The sequence below is a fragment of the Homo sapiens genome, chromosome 7 (genome assembly GCF_000001405.40).
Source record: "Homo sapiens chromosome 7, GRCh38.p14 Primary Assembly".
Lineage (NCBI taxonomy): Eukaryota > Metazoa > Chordata > Mammalia > Primates > Hominidae > Homo > Homo sapiens.
Window position 1 is genome coordinate 117,329,119 of NC_000007.14, and position 21,874 is coordinate 117,350,992.

Genomic DNA, 21,874 nt, shown 5'->3' on the forward strand with positions numbered 1-21,874 from the left:
CATATTCAAAAAAAACCCTACAAACTTGTAGCAGATTAAATACAGAGAAAACTACGTTCAGGCACATCACACATACATTTCTGACAAAGGCAAAAAGAAAATATTAAAAGCTGCCAGATGGGGAAAAACATTAATTTGAGGGGAGAAATCACAAGATATGGCTGACTTTTCAACAGAAACTATTGAAATCAGAAGATGGTAGAATGGCATCTTTAGAAAAGAGGTGGAGTGGAGAAGGATACTGTCAACTTGGAATTCTATAGTCATTGCAAAGATTCTTAAAAAGTTAAGACAAAATAAAGATGCTTTCAAATAAAAGGTAAGAAAATCCCTTATTAGCAGAGTTGATGATAAATATTAAGCCAGTTATTTAAGCTGAAGGACAATGATCCAAGATGGAATTATGGAATCAGAGTCCCCTGCTGGTTTTTGTGTTAGTGATGTCATATATTTTCTTCTACACATTTTAAACTTTTAAAAGATATCATAATCATCATTTTAATTATCAATACTATTTTGTATTTTTCTATTAATTTACCTTTCCCAATATTCATATTCCTTTTTGCAATTCCATAATTCCATCTGGGCTCATTTTAAGTACTACTGAATGGTGGTGAGTTTCCCATTTTGCTTTTTTTCTGCTATCCTGCAGCCTGGACACAAGGCAGCAAAACCGTGAAGTGGGAGCTGGCATGGACAGAAAAGCATACAGGAAAGGTATCTGGATTCAAGTAGTGTGAAAGAGATTTCTAACATACTCATAGTGAGTGGGAGAAGTTCCCTGGGCTCCCCCCTTTTAATTCTTTCACATTCCACACCCCTAGGCAAACCTATGTCAATGTTGGCAGCAGTGACAACAGCAGCAGTGAGAGCCCATAGGTGCTTAAAACTCTGAGAGATGGGAAACTTTCTCTCCAGAGGAACTGTGTTCCCAAAGAGATGAGATGAAATTCCATAGCTTTTTTTTCCCCCTCCTTCCTTCTGCCATGTGGTCCTAGACATGGGTGTAATACATACAGGAAATGTATGGCAGAGTGAGACAACTAAAGCTGAAGTTTCTGGCCAGAGGACCAAAAAGAGGAATCCTTGAAAATCAGAAAGTACTTAGGTAGTCAGGCGGAATGAGAATCTTGGGAAAACAGTCATATAAAGTTGTATGTGAAGTCCTGTGCTTACCCTCTAAGTTACGTACATGTGGATTTGCCCCTAATGATCACATCAAAAACTTTGAGAATGGAACTATGGGATAGACCACAATCCAGGTCCAAGACAAGACAATGGGTTTTACACATGAGACAGGCATGAATAGAATTACAAAGCCTTTGAAAACTGAACTAACATCAGAACCAGAACCCACATAAGGCTGGTCAGAATTTGTGGCCTGAACCCAATTAGGTTGCTTGATCATATGTTGAAACAAGAATATCAACATTCCACATAGATAGGATTTAAACAAGACCCAGAGTCTCTTAACATTCTATTCTGGATGTCCAGGATACAAGAAAAATTACTTGGTATACAAAGAACTAGGAAAATTGCAACTCAAATAGAAAAAGACCATCAAGAGACACTACTGCCTAGGTGACAAAGATGTTGAAATTATCAGACAAAGACTTAAAATCAGCTATTATAAAAATTCTTCAAGAAGTAAGGATGAATACTCTTGAAACAAATGGACAATATAAAGTCTCAGTAAATAAACAAAAAATTTAAAGAGGAAACACACGGAAATTTTAGAACCGAAGAATTTATTTACTGAAAAATCTATCTCAATGGATAGAGGTGATAACAAAATGGAGGTGACAGAGAAAGATGTGAATGAACTTGAAAATAGATCAGTGGAAGTTATCTAATCTTAACAGCAGAGGAAAAAAATATTGAAAAGAAATGAAGAGATCCTCGGGAAATCTCTGGAATAATACTCCAAGGTGCCACACTGTGTCACTGGAATCCAAGAAAGAGAGGAGAAACAGTCCACTGCAGCAAAAAATATTTGCAGAAATGGTTAAATACTTACTAAATTTGGCCAAAGGTATAGACCTAGAGATTCAGAAAGCTCAGCAAATCCAAAGAGGATACCTCCAAATAAATTAATGCTGAGATACATAAAAATAAAATTGCTGAAAACTAAAGGCAAAGACAAAGTCTTGTAAACAGACAAATACAAATGATGCATTACTTATGGAGAACAAAGAGGAAAGATGATTTAAATGACTTTAGATTTCTCATCACGAATTATGAAAGCAGAAGAAAGTGGAACATTTTTTTAAAGCACTGATAAAAAGAACCATCAACCCAGTATTCTATACACAAAGAAAATATCCTTAGTGAAAGTGAAATAAAGACATTCTCAGATGAAGGAAAACAAAGACAATTCATTGTCAGTAGACCTGTTCTAAAAGGCTTGCTAAAAGAATTTCTTCAGACAAAAGAGAAATGATATAAAAAGGAAACCTGTAAAATATGAAGCTAAGAGAAATGGTAAATATCTGAATAAAAGTTACAGACTCTTCTAGTCCTCTCCAGTTCTTTAAGAAGGCAGAAAAGGGGAAACAGGATTGAAAAACCAAGATAACACACAGAAAACAAATAATTAAATGATATACTTAAATCCAAACATACCCATAATTATATAAAATATGCATGGTCCAAACACAATTTTTTTCAAAATTGATGTATTTATTATAATAAACATAAAATTCAGGAACAATAATAGTAGGTGGTATTTGGTAATAGAAATGAGACTTAAAAAACAGAAGTGGTATAAACAGGAAAACAGGCAATAATGCAGTTAGAACCATGAGACGTCATTAATACTAAACCACAATCTATGAAGAGAGGAGGTAAATAAAAGAGTGATAGCTGAGTTTGAAATGAGATATTACCACCTACCAACCAGAATAACTAAAATTTTATCAATCTGACAATGCCAACAGTTAAGATATGGAACAAATGGAACTCTCACTCCTTGCTAGTTGAAGTAAAAGTGGTAAAACCACTTTGGAAAACTGACAGAATCTACAAACTCTGAACACATGCATTCATATTGTTTAACAAGTCCACTGTAATTATATACTCAACAAAAATGCATACACAACAATTTTAAAACAGAGATTTGCTGAATGGATAAAAACACAAGTATATGCTGTCTACAAGACATTCACTTCAAATACAATTATACAAGTAGGTAAAAAGGAGAAGTACACAAAAAGATAAATGACACAAACACTAATTAAAAGAAAGGCAAAGTTGATATATCAATATTAAAGCAGATATCTAAGCAAAATAAAAGTTACCTAGGATAATGAGGGAACATAACATAATGATAAAATGGTCAATTCACCAAGAAGACATACTGTCCCTAAATGTGTATAGACCAAACAACAGACCTTCAAAACATACGAAGCAAAAATTTGACAGAACTAAAAGGAAAAAAACAGACAAATGCACAATTACAGTTAGAGATGTCAACATTCCTCACTCAGTAATTGATAGAACAAATAGAAAAATCAGGAAGATACAGAAAAACTCAACAACACTATCAACCAATTGCTTGGAAACTAAGCAATACACTTCTAATAGTCTTTGGATCATAAAAGATGTCTCAAGGGATGTTAGAAAATATTTAAACTGAATAAAAATGCATTATTGTGAAACTATATTTAATATAGATTCTAATAAGTCAAGAATACATGTTGTAATCTCCTGGGTAACCACTAAAAACTAACAAAATATATAGCTGTTCCAGTTTTCTATTGCTGTATAACAAACCGCTCCAAAACTTAGCACTTCAAAACATCAATTTATTACTGTATTTCATAGTTCTGTGGGTTGACCAGACTTAGCTTGGTGGTTCATGCTTGGGATCCTTGATATCATTTCAGGGGTTGCAGCTGGGACTGGATTCATCTGAAAGATTGACTGGGCTGGAGGTCCCATGAGGCTTTTTAACTCGTATGTCTTGCAGCTGTCATCCTCTACATGGCCTAGACTTCTTACTTGTGGCGTAGGATGCCAAGATGAAGGAGGTAAAAGTTGCCAAACTAGTTAAGAACTACACCTGGATCTCATCAAAGCAGTTGCAGGACCTGCCCAGATTCAAGAGAGGGAGAAGTAAACTCTGCTTCTTGATAGGAGAGTAACAAAGTAACACTAAAGGAGAGCATGTAGCAATAGAAAATGTTATTATTGCCATCTCTGGAAAACAGTCTTCTACAGTCTTCCCTTTGGACACAACAATTCACATTCCTTCCACATGGGCAAAATAAACCCACTCTCTCTCCCAGGTCCCCTAAAGTCTTATTCCAATATGGCATTGTCTTGAAGTCCAGGACCTTGTCATCTAAATCAATTACAAATGCAGATAAGGCTCCTCAGGTGCTGATCCTAAAATCTTTATGAAAATGCAATAGGCATAGAACAGTCATCACAGTTTTGGAGAAAAACAACTTGGGAGATTTACATTATGAGATATCAAGCTTACTTACTCTAAACTGTAATAATTAGGGGAAGGTGATATGGAACAAGAATAGTCAAATAGGCAAATGAAACCAAATAAGAGTGCAAAAATAGACCCATATATAGGACCAACTTCATTTTCAGCAAAAGTGCCAAGCAATTTAATGAGGAAGAAAGGAGAATGATTAAAGTTTTCCAATTTCTAATTTTAAGGGAAAAAGAGCTACTACTTCCCTTTAGACTTTCCATCTGGTATTACGTTAAAATTTTAAGGATCATCACTAAAAAGAATTTTAAAAGGATGTAATTTATAATCTAACAAAAAAAATGGAGGGGGAATAAAAAAACAAACTCCATACATTCAGTGGAAAGAAAGTAGGAAAGGAGAAGAGCTTAAAAGGAGGGCAGAAGGGATGGTAGAGATAAATGCAAATATATCAATAATCAAAATAAATGTAAATGAGTTGAACTTTCCATCTCTATTCAAAGACAGGGATTGGTAGATTGGTTTCCTTTTAAACCAAGTTGTATGTTATTCAAAGAGATATTAGAACTTAAGGACACAGAAAGGATGAAAGTATAACTATCTTAGAATCAGTGAAATTAAATGTTAAGGCAAAAAACATTAGTAGAGATAAAAAGGTTGATGATATCATGATAAAGATACAATTCACCTGTAAGATAACAATAATTTTAATTTCACCTAACAATACAGTCTCAAATATTCATACCAAAAATGAACAGAAATATTAGGTTAAACAGACAAATCCATTGCCTTAGTGAGAATTTTAACTCATCTTTCTCAGTAATTGACTGTATCAGTTTGCTTTTGGTAAGTAATACACCACCCCAAAATTTAGATGCTTAAAACAGCAATCACTTGTTAGCTCATTATATTGTGGGTCAGAAATTTAAACTGGGTTTATCTGGGTAATTCCTCTGTTGATCTTCACTGGGGCCGTGCATGTTTGATGGCATTGCTCACGTGTCTATGAGTTTACCGGAGTGATAGATATCTGGCCCATATTTATCCCATTATCTATTAAGTTAATGGACCTTGTTCATGTGATGGAAGATCAGAAAAGTAGCAAGGAAACAAATGTTAATGCACAAGCACTTTGCAAGCCTTTGCTTGCATCACATTTGCTAATGTCCCACTGGCTGAAAAAGGTCATATGACCAACCTGGATACAAGGGGTGGAAGAAGAGATTCCATTTTTTTTGATGGACCTGCTATCTCATTTCAAGGATATAGATTCAGGTGGGAAAATATTTTGTAACCATTTTTATAGTCTACATATTGATAGAGCAAGAAGACAAAAAAATTAGTAAGGCTCTAAGAAGTTTTGAACTATACAAAAAGTTTTGTATGCTTTATATATAAAACTTATACTCTACAATTAGAAAATACAAAATCTTTTAAAATGGACATAATACACCTATAAAAAATAAATAATATACAAAGCTAAAAAATTATTCTCAGCAAAAAACCAAAGAACTGCTCTTTTATAAACCCCATTTTCAGGCCAAAACTCAGTTAAGCTAGGAATTAGTTACAAGATAACTTTTTAAAAAGCGTATTTAGAAAGTTTTTAATGTTTCTTAAAAATTAATTGATCAAAACAGAATTCATAATAGGAATTATAAAATATTTTGAATGCAAAATATTGGGAAGACTGGCATAATTTATGAGATATAGCTAAAGTGATATTTAGATAAAAATTCTAGCTTTAAGTGTTTACATTAGAAAAGATGAACAATGTAAACTAACGAGTTGTGCACATTGTCTTAAGTTAGAAAAAGAACAACAGAATAAACTCAGGAAAGCAGAAGGAAGAAAGTGAAAAAGAACATAAAGTAATGAGATAGGAAACACAGATTCATTAGAAAGGTTCTATAAAAACAAATGCTAGTCTTTGAAAAGATTAATAGACATGTCTCTTATAAGACAAATACAGAAAAAATGACAAAGGCATACACTGTTAAGAAAAAAGGAGAAGAATTACAGGTTCAGTAAGATTTATAAATTAGAGACCCTGAACTCATTTAAACAAAACCAAATAAAGACAACACAAGAAAAAAATATTTATGAATCTAGCTGCAACTATAAGAAATAAAATATGATAAAACCATGTGTGTATATAAATCATGGTCAAGGAATTAAAGAATACTTCAACAGTTCAAAAAATCTGCCAATAAAACACCATACTGTCTGCAGGGAAAAAAATTGAAAATCTTTCAATGTCATTTAATACATAAATACTTTTGAAAGGGAAAAATATGATTATTCCAAAATATGCAGAAAAAATGTTTGATAAAATTCAACAGTTGACATGAATTGTATTTTTTTTTAAGAAAAACTTTTTACACAACAGCAATAGGATAAAACTTTTTTTTTTTTTTTTTTGAGTGAAGTTTCACTCTTATTGCCCAGGCTGGAGTGCAGTGGCATGTTCTTGGCTTACTGCAATCTCTGCCTCTTGGGTTCCAGCGATTTTCCTGTCTCAGCCTCCCAAGTAGCTGGGATTACAGGCGCCCGCCCCTAGGCCCAGCTAATTTTTGTATTTTTAGTAGAGGCGGGGTTTCACCATGTTGGCCATGGCTGGTCTCGAACTCCTGATCTCAGGTGATCCACCCGCCTCGGCCTCCCAAAGTGCTGGGATTACAGGCGTGAGCCACTGTGCCCAGCCAAAAACTTTTCTAATAATTGAAAGGAATCTAACAGACTTACAGCAAATGTATCATATTCAATAATGAAATATTATAAGTATCTTCAAAGTTACAAAACACGAACATCCATTATCACCACTATTATCAACTATGGTACTGAGATTCTAAAACGTTATGATAATAAAGAAATATGAATTACAAGAAATGCAAAAAGAAAATTTTTATTATTTGCAGATGATGTGAACATGTACATGGAAAACCTAAAAGTGTTAAAGAACAAGACTATTAGAATAAACTGGTCATGGTAGCATGCACCTGGAATCTCAGCTACTCAGGAGGTTGAGGTGGGTGGCTTGCTTGAGCCCAGGAGTTCAAGGCCAGCCTGGGCAACATAATGAGACCCCATCTCTTCATAAACTCTTAATATATTGGCAGCAAATAGATGAATGGAATAGAATGTAAAATTCAGAAACAGATCCACAAGTACATTAGAAATTAGGTGTAGGAAATAGGCACCACTTCAAATCAAAGGGAAATGATGGATTATTCAATAATGGTGCTGTGAAAATTGGCTCACAATAAGGAAAGAAATGCTATTCGATGACTTTCATACTGTGCACAAAAATAATTTTCAGATATATTAAGGACCAAAATATGAAAAGTAAAACTTTAAAACAGAAGAAAATATAGGTAGATATTTTAAAGATTTGGGTAACAAAAAACACCAATGACAAAAGGTAAGCAGTAGATAAGAGATATTTCAACATACGTAACAGATACAGATAAGTATTTCAAATATTTAAAGTACTGAAAGTCAACAAGAAAAAGACAATCCAGTAGAAAAATAGGCAAATGATAGTAAAAAGCAATTTATAGGGGAAAAAATCACATAGAGAGATGCTCAATCTCACTTGTAATCAGAAAAGTACAAAATAAAACAAAAAAATCAACTATGTTGAATCCATCAGATAGAAGAAAATTTAAGTCAGTTAATATTATGTGTTGGCAAGTGCAGGGGTAGTGAACACTCTTGTGCACTGCTAGTAAGTCTGTAAATTAATATAGGCTCCTTGAAGAGGAGTATAGCGGTGATGCAATCAAGCTCTCCCCTGGAAACAGATGGAGGATAATTCAAGGAGGTTTGATTTACAAAGAGACTATGAGGATGTGAGCAGAGGAACTGTTACCACCTCCAGACCCAAAGGGACAAGGAGAAGGAGTAAAGGTTCATGGAACCCAGAAAGGGAAAATCTTGTAGAGATTGCTTTGAGAGGAGCAGCGCTCCTTGGTTGAGGGACACAGCACAAGAAATCTTGTAGGAGGGAGCTGGTAAATAAATATCTAGACTGCACTCTCCCTCGGATATTCTGCTGGGGTTCCTCATTGGATAAACCCAACCAGGAGCTGAAGGGCCCATTGATATAGTTCATAGAGTCAGCCTCCCAGGGTGGGGTAGGATGGAGAAAGGAAGGCTCTGAAGGGGCAAACAAAAGATAACTGGCAACATCAGTAGGTAAGGAATTGAAAATATTTGTGCCCTACAACTAGCTATTCCATTGCTAAATATAGTTAAAGACATTTTGTTGTGCATCAGGACACATGTACGTATGCATAGTACAATACTGTTGAGAAGAATAAGTGAAAAATAACTCAAAATTTTATCAGTGAAGGAATAGAGAGGTAAAATATGGGATGAACATGTGATGGCATACTGTAGAGCAGTTACATGGAATTAATTACATCTTCACTTTTTACGTGGATGAATCTGAAAACATGTTGATGGAAAAAATAAAGAACAGAATGAAGCAACATTAGTATAACCCCATATTAGTTGGGAGTGTCTTTAGCACCACTGACAGAAAACTTAGCTACAGTTGCTTAATCAAATAGGGGTTTACTTTTCTCATGCTGTAAGAAGTCCAGAGGTAGACTATCCAGAGCTGGTGCAGCTGCTCTAGCATATATACAAGGAAGGTTCTTTCTGTCTCACTGTTCTTAGCGTATGGCTCCATCTTATGGCTTTGAGATATTTAGTAACAGCCCCAATGCTTAAAATGGAATATTTCAGTTTATTTAGCAATTCTATTAACCTGGGCTTTTCCATGTCTTTAGTATTAGTTTTCAAATAGACTTGAAGTAAGTAAATACTTTTAAAATCAGGTGAATTCAAATCAAGAAGAAGCTGAGAAAATATGTATATCTCAAGTGCATAACCTCTGGTGCCCATGATGGTATGTAAAATGTTTCAGGAAGATGAGGTCCTCTGTGTGACTTGGGGAGGTGAAAGTGTAGGTAGGTGTTAGGATAAGTACCAAGTAGACAATCTGAACAAGATTGAGTCATGTACATTTCCACGCCGCCACCAATCTTCATCTGTGGAACAACAAGAATGTAATCTCTAGTTCTCTCCATTATCACAAGAGGGTTTAATAAGTTTGGCCTTATATACAGTGGTTTCTGCTTCTAACCTGCAACTGATTGCACATCTTTGCATTTGAGTAGGTACAGTTCGTTGAAGAGGAAGAAGAGAAATAGAGGGAGTCTTATGAGATAAATTATTCTCTGTTTGACTATTAGCTGTCTTGTGGATTCTGAATATGTCTGTGCCAGTTTAGATAATTTAAGTATTTTTAATTATGTCACTGTATTATAGAAAATATTTCTTTCAAACAAAAATATGGCAATTTGAAAAATCTGACTCCTTTTCTCACACAGAGTATCACTTTTGGTGCAAGGCACTATAACATATGCTTTATTATGAATAACAACAATAGAAATTTTACTGACTACCATTTATTCAGTTTATACCATGTAGCAGGTATTGTAGAAAATAATTTATGTGGCTTAGTTCACTTAATCCTTATAGCAACCTTATTTATTTTATTAAATAAGCTTATTATTATTATTGAGATGGAGTTTCGCTCTCATTGCCCAGGCTGGAGTGCAATGGTACGATCTTGGCTCACTGCAACCTCCGCCTCCTGGGTTCAAGCGATTCTCCTGCCTCAACCTCCTGAGTAGCTGGGATTACAGGCATGCACCACCACGCCCAGCTAATTTTGTATTTTTAGTAGAGATGGGGTTTCTCCATGTTGGTCAGGCTGGTCTTGAACTCCCAACCTCAGGTGATCCACCCACCTCAGCCTCCCAAAGTGCTGGGATTACAGGCGTGAGCCACCGCGTCCAGCCTAAATAAGCTTATTAAAATATACGTTTGATTACATTAGCTAAATGACTGGCATATAGTAAATGTCCAATTAAAAGTGTTATTTTTAGTATAATTATTGTTATTTTATAGATGACATGGTAGATACATAAAGGGCTTAGGTAGCTTTCTGAAAGCTGCAGAGCTAGTAAGTGGTAGAGCTGAAATTGGTACTTGGATCTGTCTGGCTCCAAGTCTGCATTAACTATAAAACTCTACAACAACTTCTGTGACATTGCATTTAACACTTGAACGAAAACCCTAACTCAGGATATTTATGTTTTGGATTAGGAAACTAGGTGTCATAGAAAATAATTATTAATAATAATCATTTTTTTCATGACCTATTCAAGGGCACTTCTGGTTGGTGACAGAGTTGGGTTCCCTGGGAAGAAAATCCTGGTGGAGATTAGTATATGGGACACATTAGGAGTGCTCTGGAAAGCAATACCTGTGCGAGGAAAGGCAAGGAAATAGGATTAGGCAGAGGGAGAATATGGGGTGTGATGCCCTCTCAATGAAGGCCTCAGCCATCCCCACTGGGAGTTCTAAAGTGGGATTGTCTTTCAGAGTTGTCTTGAGTTGGGATGAGGGGCCCTGAAATTGGGGCCTTTCTATCCCTAAGTTGACCAGTCATTTCTGGGAATAGGAAGTGCTATAGGGAACTCAGCTATCTTTGACGGAGAAAACTCTCAAAGAAAGCTGAGGGCTTAGGGCTGTCTGCTAACTGCACTCCAGCCCCTGGAGATAAGTCATTTATTCTTAAATGGAGATTTGGGAGCCACATCACACATCCACTCCAGTATACAAAACTTCATTAAGAAAAAAAATCTACTATTTTTCTTTCATCCTATGCTGGTATTCCTATTTTATTTAGAAAATGATGTGAGGACTTTGCATAATAACTAACCTTTTGTTTCCGTATTTTAAGTTCAATCTTGGTACACCAGAGCTAACCATGTGTGTTAATTGTAATATTACCACTAATATGACAGTTAATTATAATATTACCACTAACGTAACAGTTAATTATAACACAGCTAACTTAATAGTTTATTTATTTATTTATTTTATTTTATTTTATTTTTTTTGAGACAGAGTCTTGCTCTGTCGCCCAGGCTGGAGTGCAGTGGCGCAATCTCGGCTCACTGCAAGCTCCGCCTCCCGGGTTCACGCCATTCTCCTGCCTCAGCCTCCCGAGTAGCTGGGACTACAGGCGCCTGCCACCACGCCCAGCTAATTTTTTTGTATTTTTAGTAGAGAAGGGGTTTCACCGTGTTAGCCAGGATGGTCTCGATCTCCTGACCTCTTGATCCGCCCGCCTCGGCCTCCCAAAGTGCTGGGATTACAGGCGTGAGCCACCACGCCCAGCCTAACTTAATAGTTAATTGTAGTATTACCACTGAAAATTCTAGGTGTTTTCATGCTCTATACTGGGGTTATGAACTCCATATGCAACACCAAAAATTGGTTTAATTGAATGAATCTTGAATCCATGATGAGAACTTGGTTTAAATCTGGCTTAACTCTCTTCTAAAATATTTCACACATAGGGAACTTTGCCAGTTTTTCATTTGTAGCTGTTTTCTTTGTAGGAGTGTTGGGTAGGAAGGTTATAGGTTGAGGTTTACCCCTACTCCTATGGGGAAAAGTAAGTGAATCTATCACTACACTCTCAACTGTAAAAAAAACTGTTAAAAAACAAAAACAAAAAAATTTTGACCACTCTCTCCAATGAAGCAAAGTGTGTTTTTCTTTTTACAAAAGTTTGCATCTTTAAATGATGCTAATCCTACCGTTTCTCTTAATAGAAAAAATATTTTTAAAAATTTTATTTTTTTTTAAGAGATTCGGTCTTACTCTGTTTCCCAGGATGGAGGGCAGTGGTGCAATCATAGCACACTGCAGCCTTGAACTCCTGGACTAAAGCAGTCCTCCCAGCTCAGCCTCCCAAATAGCTGGGACTATAGGCATGCACCACCATGTCTGGCTAATGTTTTTAATTTTTTTTTTTTTAAAGAGATGGGGTCTTGCTTATGTTGTTGCCCAGGCTGGTCTCTAATGCCTCGCCTCAAGCAATCCTCCTGCCTTTGCCTCCCAAACATTGGATTATAGGTATGAGCTATGTGCCTGGCCTAAGTATTTAAATTTTCTGATCTCTGATCTCATATAAAAAATGTAATATATGGTTATAGTGCTTGCACATACTACGCACTCAGTGATTGTTTAATGAATTAAAATGTCTTTATAAGTCAGCTTCCCAAAACTATTATGCTGGCAACAGCCAAATATTAAGAATAACTCTCATAATAGCAATCTCTAAATGTGAGCTCAAAAGGAAAATCACTTATGAGGGGTTCAGTTTTGTCTAAGCATTGATTCATGTACATAAAGCCCCTAATGGCTTTGTTCTAATTTTAAGAATTCCAAATCAGATCCATTTCTGAGGATGGCATTATTCTGATTAATTTAGTCAGACTGATCATCTATCAGATGAGGAAACCAAGACCCAGAGAATGCACAGCTAAAAACAACAGGGCTAGAATCTAGGATACCTCTGTTTTTATCTCTAAATTTAGAGATAAGAGAGAGATTAGGGGTTGAGAAGGGACAGCATACAACAGCAGACATGGAACTCACAAAAGAAAAATAATAAAGAAGATTAAAGTGTTAGAAAGATACCAGAAAGGAAGCAAATTCATGGAAACAATTATAAAACATCTGTTGAGAAGAAGGTGAAAAATACTGTCTACTGAAATAAGTATAGAGATAGTGCCATTCTTGAAAATGTCATTTACTCTCCCTCCAAAAATGTTATACAGTATTAAAACTTGTTAATTTAATATAAAATATTGAGAAGATAATCTGAATTCACAGGTAAAGAAATATAGCATTGTTCAAATGGTTTAGAGTTAGTTTTTCCAATAATTAATGAATGGTGTCACATAAGTGCAGTATAACATTTTTATTGGCACTTAAAATAAATGTATTACTCACTAGTGGATATGCCGAAAAGAAAATATCCACCAAAATTCCACCCCCACAAAGCTAAAAATGATTATTTATTAATCAGTGACAGAGTGACTTGGAGTGCAAAACAGAAATCATCATGGTTATCTGTGTTCTGAAAGATTAACTATCATCATAGTGTTAAGATCAAAAAAAGGTTGGCACAAAACTTCCCATTAAAAAAAAAACCTCAGTTTTGATTCCATTCCTTGAAATTGTGGCTGAATTCATTTTTTTTCTCATTCTACTTCATTAGTATTTTCTTAATTTTAATTTTTTATTTCAGTAGGTTTTTGGGGAACAGGTGGTATTTGGTTACATGGGTAAGTTCTTTAGTGGTGATTTCTGAGATTTTGGTGCACCCATCACTTGAGCAGTGTACACTGTACCCAGTGTATAGTCTTTTATTCCTCATCCCCCTCCCACCCTTTTCCCTGAGTCCCCAAAGTCCACCTTTGTGTCCTCATAGCTTAGCTACCACTTATGAGTGAGAATATATGATGTTTGGTTTTCCATTCCTGAGTTACTTCACTTAGAACAATGGTCTCCAATTCCATCCAGATTGCTGTGAAGGCCATTATTTCATTCCTTTTTATGGCTGAGTAGTATTCCATGGTATATCTATACCACATTTCCTTTATCCATTTGTTGATTGATGGGCATTTGGGCTGGTTCCATGATTTTGAAATTGCAGATTTACACACTGCTATAAACATGCGTGTGCAAGTATCTTTTTCATATGACTTCTTTTTCTCTGGGTAGACACCCAGTAGTGGGTTTGCTGGATCAAATGGTAGATCTACTTTTAGTTCTTTAAAGAATCTCCACACTGTTTTCCATAGTGGTTGTACTAGTTTACATTCCCACCAGCAGTGTAAAAGTGTTCACTTTTCACCACATCCACGTCAGCATCTATTATTTTTTTATTTTTTGATTATGGCCATTCTTGCAGGAGTAAGATGGTATTGCATGTGGTTTTGATTTGCATTTCCTTAATCATTAGTGATGTTGGGCATTTTTTCATGTTTGTTAGTCATTTGTACATCTTCTTTTGAGAATTGTCTATTCATATCCTTAGCCCACTTTTTGATGTGATTGTTTGTTTTTCTCTTGCCAATTTGTGAGTTCCTTGTAGATTCTGGATATTAGTCCTTTGTCAGATGCATAGTTTGCAAAGATTTTCTTTAACTCTATGGGTTGTCTGTTTACTCTGCTGATTATTTATTCTGCTGTGCAGAAGCTTTTTAATTTAATTAAGTCCCATCTATTTATCTTTGTTTTTGTTGCATTTGCCTTTGGGTTCTTGGTCATGAAGCCTTTGCCTATGCCAATGTCTAGAAGGGTTTTTCTGATGTTATCTTCCAGAATTTTTATGGTTTCAGGTATTAGATTTAAGTTTTTCATCCATTTTGAGTTAATTTTTGTATAAGGTGAGAGATGAGGATCCAGTTTTATTCTTTTACATGTGGCTTGCCAATTATCCCAGCACCATTTGTTGAATAGGGTGTCCTTTCCACACTTTATGGTTTTGTTTGCTTTGTCGAAGATCAGTTGGCTGTAAGTATTTGGCTTTATTTCTGGGTTCTCTATTCTGTTCCACTGGTCTATGTGACTATTTTTATACCAGTACCATGCTATTTTGGTAACTATTGCCTTATAGTATAAAGTTAAGTGATGCCTCCAGATTTGTTCTTTTTGCTTAGTCTTGCTTTAACTATGTGGGCTCTTTTTTGTTCCATATGCATTTTTGGATTGTTTTTTCTAGTTCTGTGAGAATGATGGTGGTATTTTGATGGGAATTGCATTGAATTTTTGGTTGCTTTTGGCAGTATGCTCATTTTCACATGAGCATGGAATATGTTTCCATTTGTTTGTGTCATCTATGATTTCTTTCAGCAGTATTCTGTAGTTTTCCTTGCAGAGGTCTTTTTACCTCCTTGGTTAGGTATATTCATAAGTATTTTTTTTTTTTTCCAGTAAAAAGGGTTGAGTTCTTGATGTGATTCTCAGCTTGGTCACTGCTGGTGTATAGCAGTGCTACTGATTTCTGTACATTCATTTTGTATCCTGAAACTTTACTGAACTCATTTATCAGTTCTAGGAGATTTTTTGATGAGCCTTTAGGATTTTCTAGATATGCAATCATATCATTGGCAAACAGTAACTGTCTGACTTCCTCTTTACCAATTTGGATGCCCTTTATTTCTTTCTGTTGTCTGATTGCTCTGGCTAGGACTTTCAGTGCTTGGTTGAATAGAAGTGGTGAAAGTGAGTATCCTTGTCTTGTTCCAGTTCTCAGGGGGAATGCTTTCAACTTTTCCCCATTCAGTATAATGTTGGCTGTGGTTTAGTCATAGATGGCTTTTATTACCTGAAGGCATGTCCCTTCTATGTTGATTTTACTGAAGGTTTTAATCATAAATAGATGCTGGATTTTGTCAAATGCTTTTTCTGCGTCTATTAAGGTTTTCTTTTTAATTCTCTTTATGTGGTATATCACGTTTATTGACTTGTGTATGTTAAACCATCCCTGCATCCCTGGTATGAAATCCACTTGAACATGGTGGATTATCTTTTGGATATTCTGTTGGATTCCATAGCTAGTATTTTGTTAAGGATTTTTACATCTATCTTCATCAGGGATATTGGTCTGTAGTTTTCTTTTTTTGTTATGTCCTTTCCTGGTTTTGGTATTAGGTTGATACTGGCTTTGTAGAATGATTTAGGGAGGATTCCCTCTTTCTCTATCTTTTCAAATAGTGTCAGTAGGATTGGTATCTCATTGGATGAGAAGTGTCTTTGAATTTCTAATAGAATTCAGCTGTGAATCCATCTGGTCCTGGACTTTTTTTTTGTTGGCACTTTTGTAATTACCATTTCAATCTTGCTGCTTGTTATTGGTCTGTTCAGAGTTTTTATTTCTTCCTGGTTTAATCTAGGAGGGTTGTATATTTCCAGGAATTTATCCTGGAAGGTGTTCCGTTTAGCCTTGAATGATCTTTTGTATTTCTGTGATACCGGTTGTAATATCTCCTGTTTCATTTCTAATTGAGCTTATTTGGATCTTCTCTCTTTTTTCTTGGTTGATCTCACAAATGGTCTATCAATTTTATTTATCTTTTCAAAGAACCAGCTTTTTGTTTCATTTATCTTTTGCATTTTTTTTTGTCTGTTTCAACTTCATTTAGTTCTGCTCTGATCTTGGATATTTCTTTCCTTTTGCTGGATTTGGGTTTGTTTGCTGATGAATAGAATGTATATTCTGCAGTTGTTGGGTAGAATGTTCTATAAATATCTGTTGAGTCCATTGATTCTAGGGTATAGCTTAAGTCCATTGTTTCTGTGTTGACTTTCTGTCTTGATGACCTGTCTAGTGCTGTCAGTGGAGTATTGAATTCTCCCACTATTATTGTATTGCTGTCTATCTAATTTCTTAGATCTGGTAGTAATTGTTTTATAAATTTGGGAGCTCCAGTGTTAGGTGCATATATATTTAGGATGTGATATTTTCCTGTTGGACTAGTCCATTTATCATTATATAATGTCCCTCATTGTCTTTTTAAACTATTGTTGCTTTAAGGCCTGTTTTGTCTAAGAATAGCTACTCCTGCTTGTTTTTGGTGTCAATCGCATAGAATGTCTTTTTCCACCCCTTTACCTTAAGTTTATGTGAGTCCTTGTGTGTTAGGTGAGTCTCCTGAAGACAGCAGATACTTGGTTGGTGAATTCTTATGCATTCTACCATTCTGTATCTTTTAAGTGGAGCATTTGGGCCATTTACATTCAATGTTAGTTTTGAGAAGTGAAGTACTATTCTATTCATCATACTAGTTGTTGCCTCAGTGCCTTGTTTTTGTTTTCATTGTGTTACTGTTTTATAGGTCCTGTGAGATTTATGCTTTAAGGAGGTTCTATTTTGGTGCACAATGAGGATTGGTTTCATGATTTAGAGCTCCTTTCAGCAGTTTTTGTAGTGCTGGCTTGGTAGTGGTGAATTCTCTCAGCATATGTTCATCTGAAAAAAAAAACTGTATCTTTCCTTTATTTATGAAGCTTTATTTCCCTGTATGCAAAATTCTTGGCTGATAATTGTTTTGTTTAAGGAGGCTAAAGATAGTACCCCGATTCCTTTAGCTTGTAGGGTTTCTGCTGAGAAATCTATGTTAATCTGATAGGTTTTCCTTTCTAGGTTACCTGATGCTTTTGCCTCACAGCTCTTAAGATTATTTCCTTCGTTTGACTTTTGATAACCTGATGACTATGTGCCTAGGTGATGATCTTTTTGTGATGAATTTCCTGGGTGTTTTTGCACTTCTTGTATTTAGATGTCTAGATCTCTGCAAGGCCAGGGAAATTTTCCTTGATTATTCCTTCAGATATGTTTTCCAAACTATTAGATTTCTCTTCTTCCTCAGGAATACCAGTTATTCTTAGGTTTGGTTGTTTAACATAATCCCAACTTCTTGGAGGCCTTTGTCCATTTTTTTTTCTTTGTCTTTGTCAGATTGGGTTAATTCAAAATCCTTGTCTTTGAGCTCTGAAGTTCTTTCTTCTACTTGTTTGATTCTATTGCTGAGATTTTCCAGTGTGTTTTGCATTTCTCTGAGTGTGTCCTGCATTTCCAGAAGTTGTGATTGTTTTTTATTTATGTTATCTGTTTCTCTGGAGATTTTTCTGTCCATATCCTGTATTACTTTTTTGATTTAAGTTAGTATTCACTTTTCTCTAGTGTCTCCTTGAGTAGCTTAATAATTGACCTTCTGAATTGTTTTTCTGGCAATTCAGAGATTTATTCTTGTTTTGGATCCATTGCTGTTGAGCTAGTGTGATCTTTTGGGGATGCTAAAGAATTGTTTTTCTGGTTCCTTTTCTGACAATGTCTGAGGGAAGATCCAGGGCTCAAGGGCTATTGTTCAGATTCTTTTGTCCTACAGGGTGTTCCCTTGATGTGGCAGTCTCCCTCTTCCCCTGGATATGGGGCTACCTGAGAGCTGAACTGCAGTGATTGTTATTTCTCTTCTGGGTCTAGCCACCCAGTGGAGCTACTGGGCTCCAGGCTCGTACCGAGGAATGTCTGCAAAGAGTCCTGTGACGTGATCTGTCTTCAGCAGTGAATACAACACCTGCTCCGGTGGATGTAGCAGGGGAGTGAAATGGACTCTGTGAGGGTCCGTGATTGTAGTTTCATTTAGTGCCCTGGTTTTGTGTTGGTTGGCCTCCAGCCAGGAGGTGGTACTTTCAAGACAGCATCAGCTGCCATAGTATAAAGAGGATATAAGCTTGCCCTAGGGTGACCTGGATAAGTATCTGTGTTTCTCAGGTGGTGGGCTGAGCCATAGAACTCCCAAGAGATTATGCCCTTTGTCTTCGGCTAGCAGGACAGGTAGAGAAAGACCATTAGGAGACCATAAGGGTTAGGGGTGTCTGAGCTCAGACTCCTTGGGTGGGGCTTGCTGTGGCTGCTATAGGGGATGGGGGTGTGTTTCTCAGACTGATGGAGTTACATTCCCAGGGCGATTATGGCTGCCTCTGCTGCATCATATAAGTTGCCAGGGAAGTGGGGGAAAGCTGGTAGTGACAGGCCTTACCCAGCTCCCATGCAGCCTGAAAGGCCAGTCTCAACTCTCACTCCCACTGTGCCCCTCCAACAGCACCAAGGTTATTTCCAGGCAGTCAGTGAGCAGGGCTGAGAACTTGCCCCAAGCTACAAACCTCCCTGCTGAAAAAGCAAGCGGGACTTTCAGATTTCACACCTCTCCACCTGCTGCGGTTTCTGTGCTCATATCTGCACTCCCCATGCACCCCCTCCCCCAGATTCTGTCCAGGAAACTTTGTGTTTTGTCAAAATTGTTACAAAGTTCAGCTGGAAGTTTCCTTCTCCCTGTGGTCTTTCCCCAATGCCACTGAGAGTCCTCCCCAAGGACCCCTCTGAGACAAAGTCAGGAATGGCTTCCCTGGGAACCGAGAGTGCCCACATGGCTCTTCCTGCTCCTTCCTCTACCCCTACATTTCGCTCGGTTCCCTAAATTAGTCTCAGCTCCAGGTAAGGTCAAATCCTTCTCCTGTGATCTGGACCTTCAAGCTCCCCAGTAAGGAGGTGTGTTCTGGGGCAGACATCCCCTTCTCACACTTCGAGCACTCACAGTTTTTTTTGACATTTCATAGAGCCTACAGCAGCAAGCTGCTTCCTTAAGAGGGTCTGTGGATTCTCTTGGCTTTCTTGGTATGTTCCTATGGTAGTTCTTGGAGCAAAAGTTCATGATGTGTGTCTCCACATGCTGCTATGTCCATCCGAGAGGAAGTTGCAATTTAGCCCTGCCTCCTAGCTGCCATTTTTCCCTGCTATCCCCTGGATTCATTTTTGGACTGATACCCTTTTAGACATTTAAATCTTGTTTCCCATATTTAATAAAAATAATTCATATAAATTAGGTATTACTGGAAATACCTTCCACAGGAAGGCCTTCAAAATTAACAGTGTAGCCTTGCTTTATGTATCATTTATCTAGCCCTAATGTAATCTTGTCAAACCTAGGTGGTCTTTTCCTTTTGCTTCAAATAGACTTTAGGTGCTCTTAAAATTTTCAGCATCCTATAGTACTAACCTAAATTTTCAGCATCCTATAACGTTAACTTAAAGCTTATAGAAAAGATACCTAGCTAGTGTTTCTGGCTTTTAAAAAAGAATCCTGCACAGTATTCTGGGGTAAGCTCTATACTAAGCACAAAGCAGATACCCCAGAAATACTGATTAAAGAATTTTACTGCCAGGATGGTAGTATGATGAATGTCATAAATGCACTCCCCAGAGAAACAAGCAAAGCTGGAGAAAACTATAAAAATGCAACCATTTAAAGTCTTTAGAAAATGTCCCAAGGATACAGAGCAAATGCAGAAACATTTATTCAAGAAAATCTACTAAAACTCAGCATAAACAATGAGACTGTAGCACTTGAAGCCATGATCCACTGTCACCATATCCCCAGCCCCAAGCCAAAACAGCTTAGCAGAAGTTCCACTCTGGATGGATATGGCCCAGAAGATGAGCTCCCTCTCCTCCTCAGCTCCCGAACAAGTGTTACCATATCTCATCTGAAGCAGCAGCCTACCAGCATTTCTTATCCCCTTCGACTCAAATGTGAAGTGACTAAATTCTGGTGAGTATGGCTGAGAGGTTGAGGGATCTCTCCTTTCACTGAGCACCATAGGATGAGAACTCTTCTCCCAGACAAGGAAGGCTGAGAATACTAAGACCCTGAATTCCTTCACCCCGCTTGCTGAAAGGCAGAGATTCCATGCTGTGAGAAGCAAACCAAGAAGACCAGAGGCTACTGCTCCACCCAGCACCTAGAATAGTGGCTCAGAGATTCTGCCTATGATAAGAAGCAGTCCCTAAGAAAAAAGTGGCTCAAAAGCTCTCCCCAAAGGAACTGACTTTATTTAAAACAGAATGTGTGGAAATTCAAGCCTAAGGATACTCTGGAAAACAATAACTCCTCTTAATTAGGAACAAGTTAAATTCTAGGCCAGTAGTTTACCTTAGAGAACCCCAGGGAAAGAGACAGCTAAGAAGGGTCCTCTTGGGGTCAGAATACACCTCAGAGGCTGGCCTTAAAAACTACTTCTGTCCAGTTTTAATTCTATCAGAATACAGAGTAATTTATTCCCTAAGCTATGTCAAAAACAATAGAGCAATTGTCCAGTAATTAGTGGAGCCTAAGGGCGGGGTGTAAACACACAATGAGCCACACAGCCTAGAAGGAAGATTAGAGAAACAGGCAGTTTAACAGAGCCCTGCTAAAAACCACTGTCACCCCAGGGTCACTATATATGCCCAAGACTGCTCTCTCTGAGAAGAAACATCAAAGACTTCACAATTTGGGGTAAGTAGACTTCACTAATATAGTGCAGCCAAATCACTAAACAAAGAAACAAGCAAACAATTCCTTATGGGGAGGGAAAGAAGAATCGGTATCTAGAATTGCTAGAATATATAACCTAAAATATCCAGTTCTCAACAAAAATTATGAGACATGCAAAGAAATAGGAAAGACTGATCCACACATAAGAAAAAGAGTAGGCAACAGAAACTAACTGTGAGAGGGGCTAAATGTCATATTTAACAGACAAAGACTTCAATGAAGCCATTATAAATATGTTCAAAGAACTAAAAGAAACCATGGTTAAGGAAGTAAAGAAAGGTATGAACAAAATGTCTTATCATAGAGAATATCAATAAAAAGAAATCATAAAAAAAACCCAAAAGGGAATTCTGAAATTGAAAAAAGTACGATAAATGAAATGTAAAAATTCATTACAATGGCTCAACAGTCAGTTTGAACTAGCAGAAAAAAGAATCAGTGAACTTGAAGATAAATGAAAAGATAATATAATCTGAAAAGGAGAGTAAAAATAGAATGACGAGAAATAAAGAGTCTCAGAGAAACCTGGGACACTTTTGGGTATACCAACATTGGTATAATGGAATGACCAGAAGGTGAGGAGAAAGAAAAAGAAAGAGAAAAAACATTA

General features: G+C 36.7%; 1 annotated feature.

Annotated features, from left to right (window-relative positions):
* Positions 19,291-19,470: an enhancer, noted in NCBI's record as "active region_26546". NCBI's record gives its function as "activates an Ori minimal core promoter by ATAC-STARR-seq in GM12878 lymphoblastoid cells {active_cell/tissue: GM12878}" and the evidence as "EXISTENCE:reporter gene assay evidence [ECO:0000049][PMID:35858748]".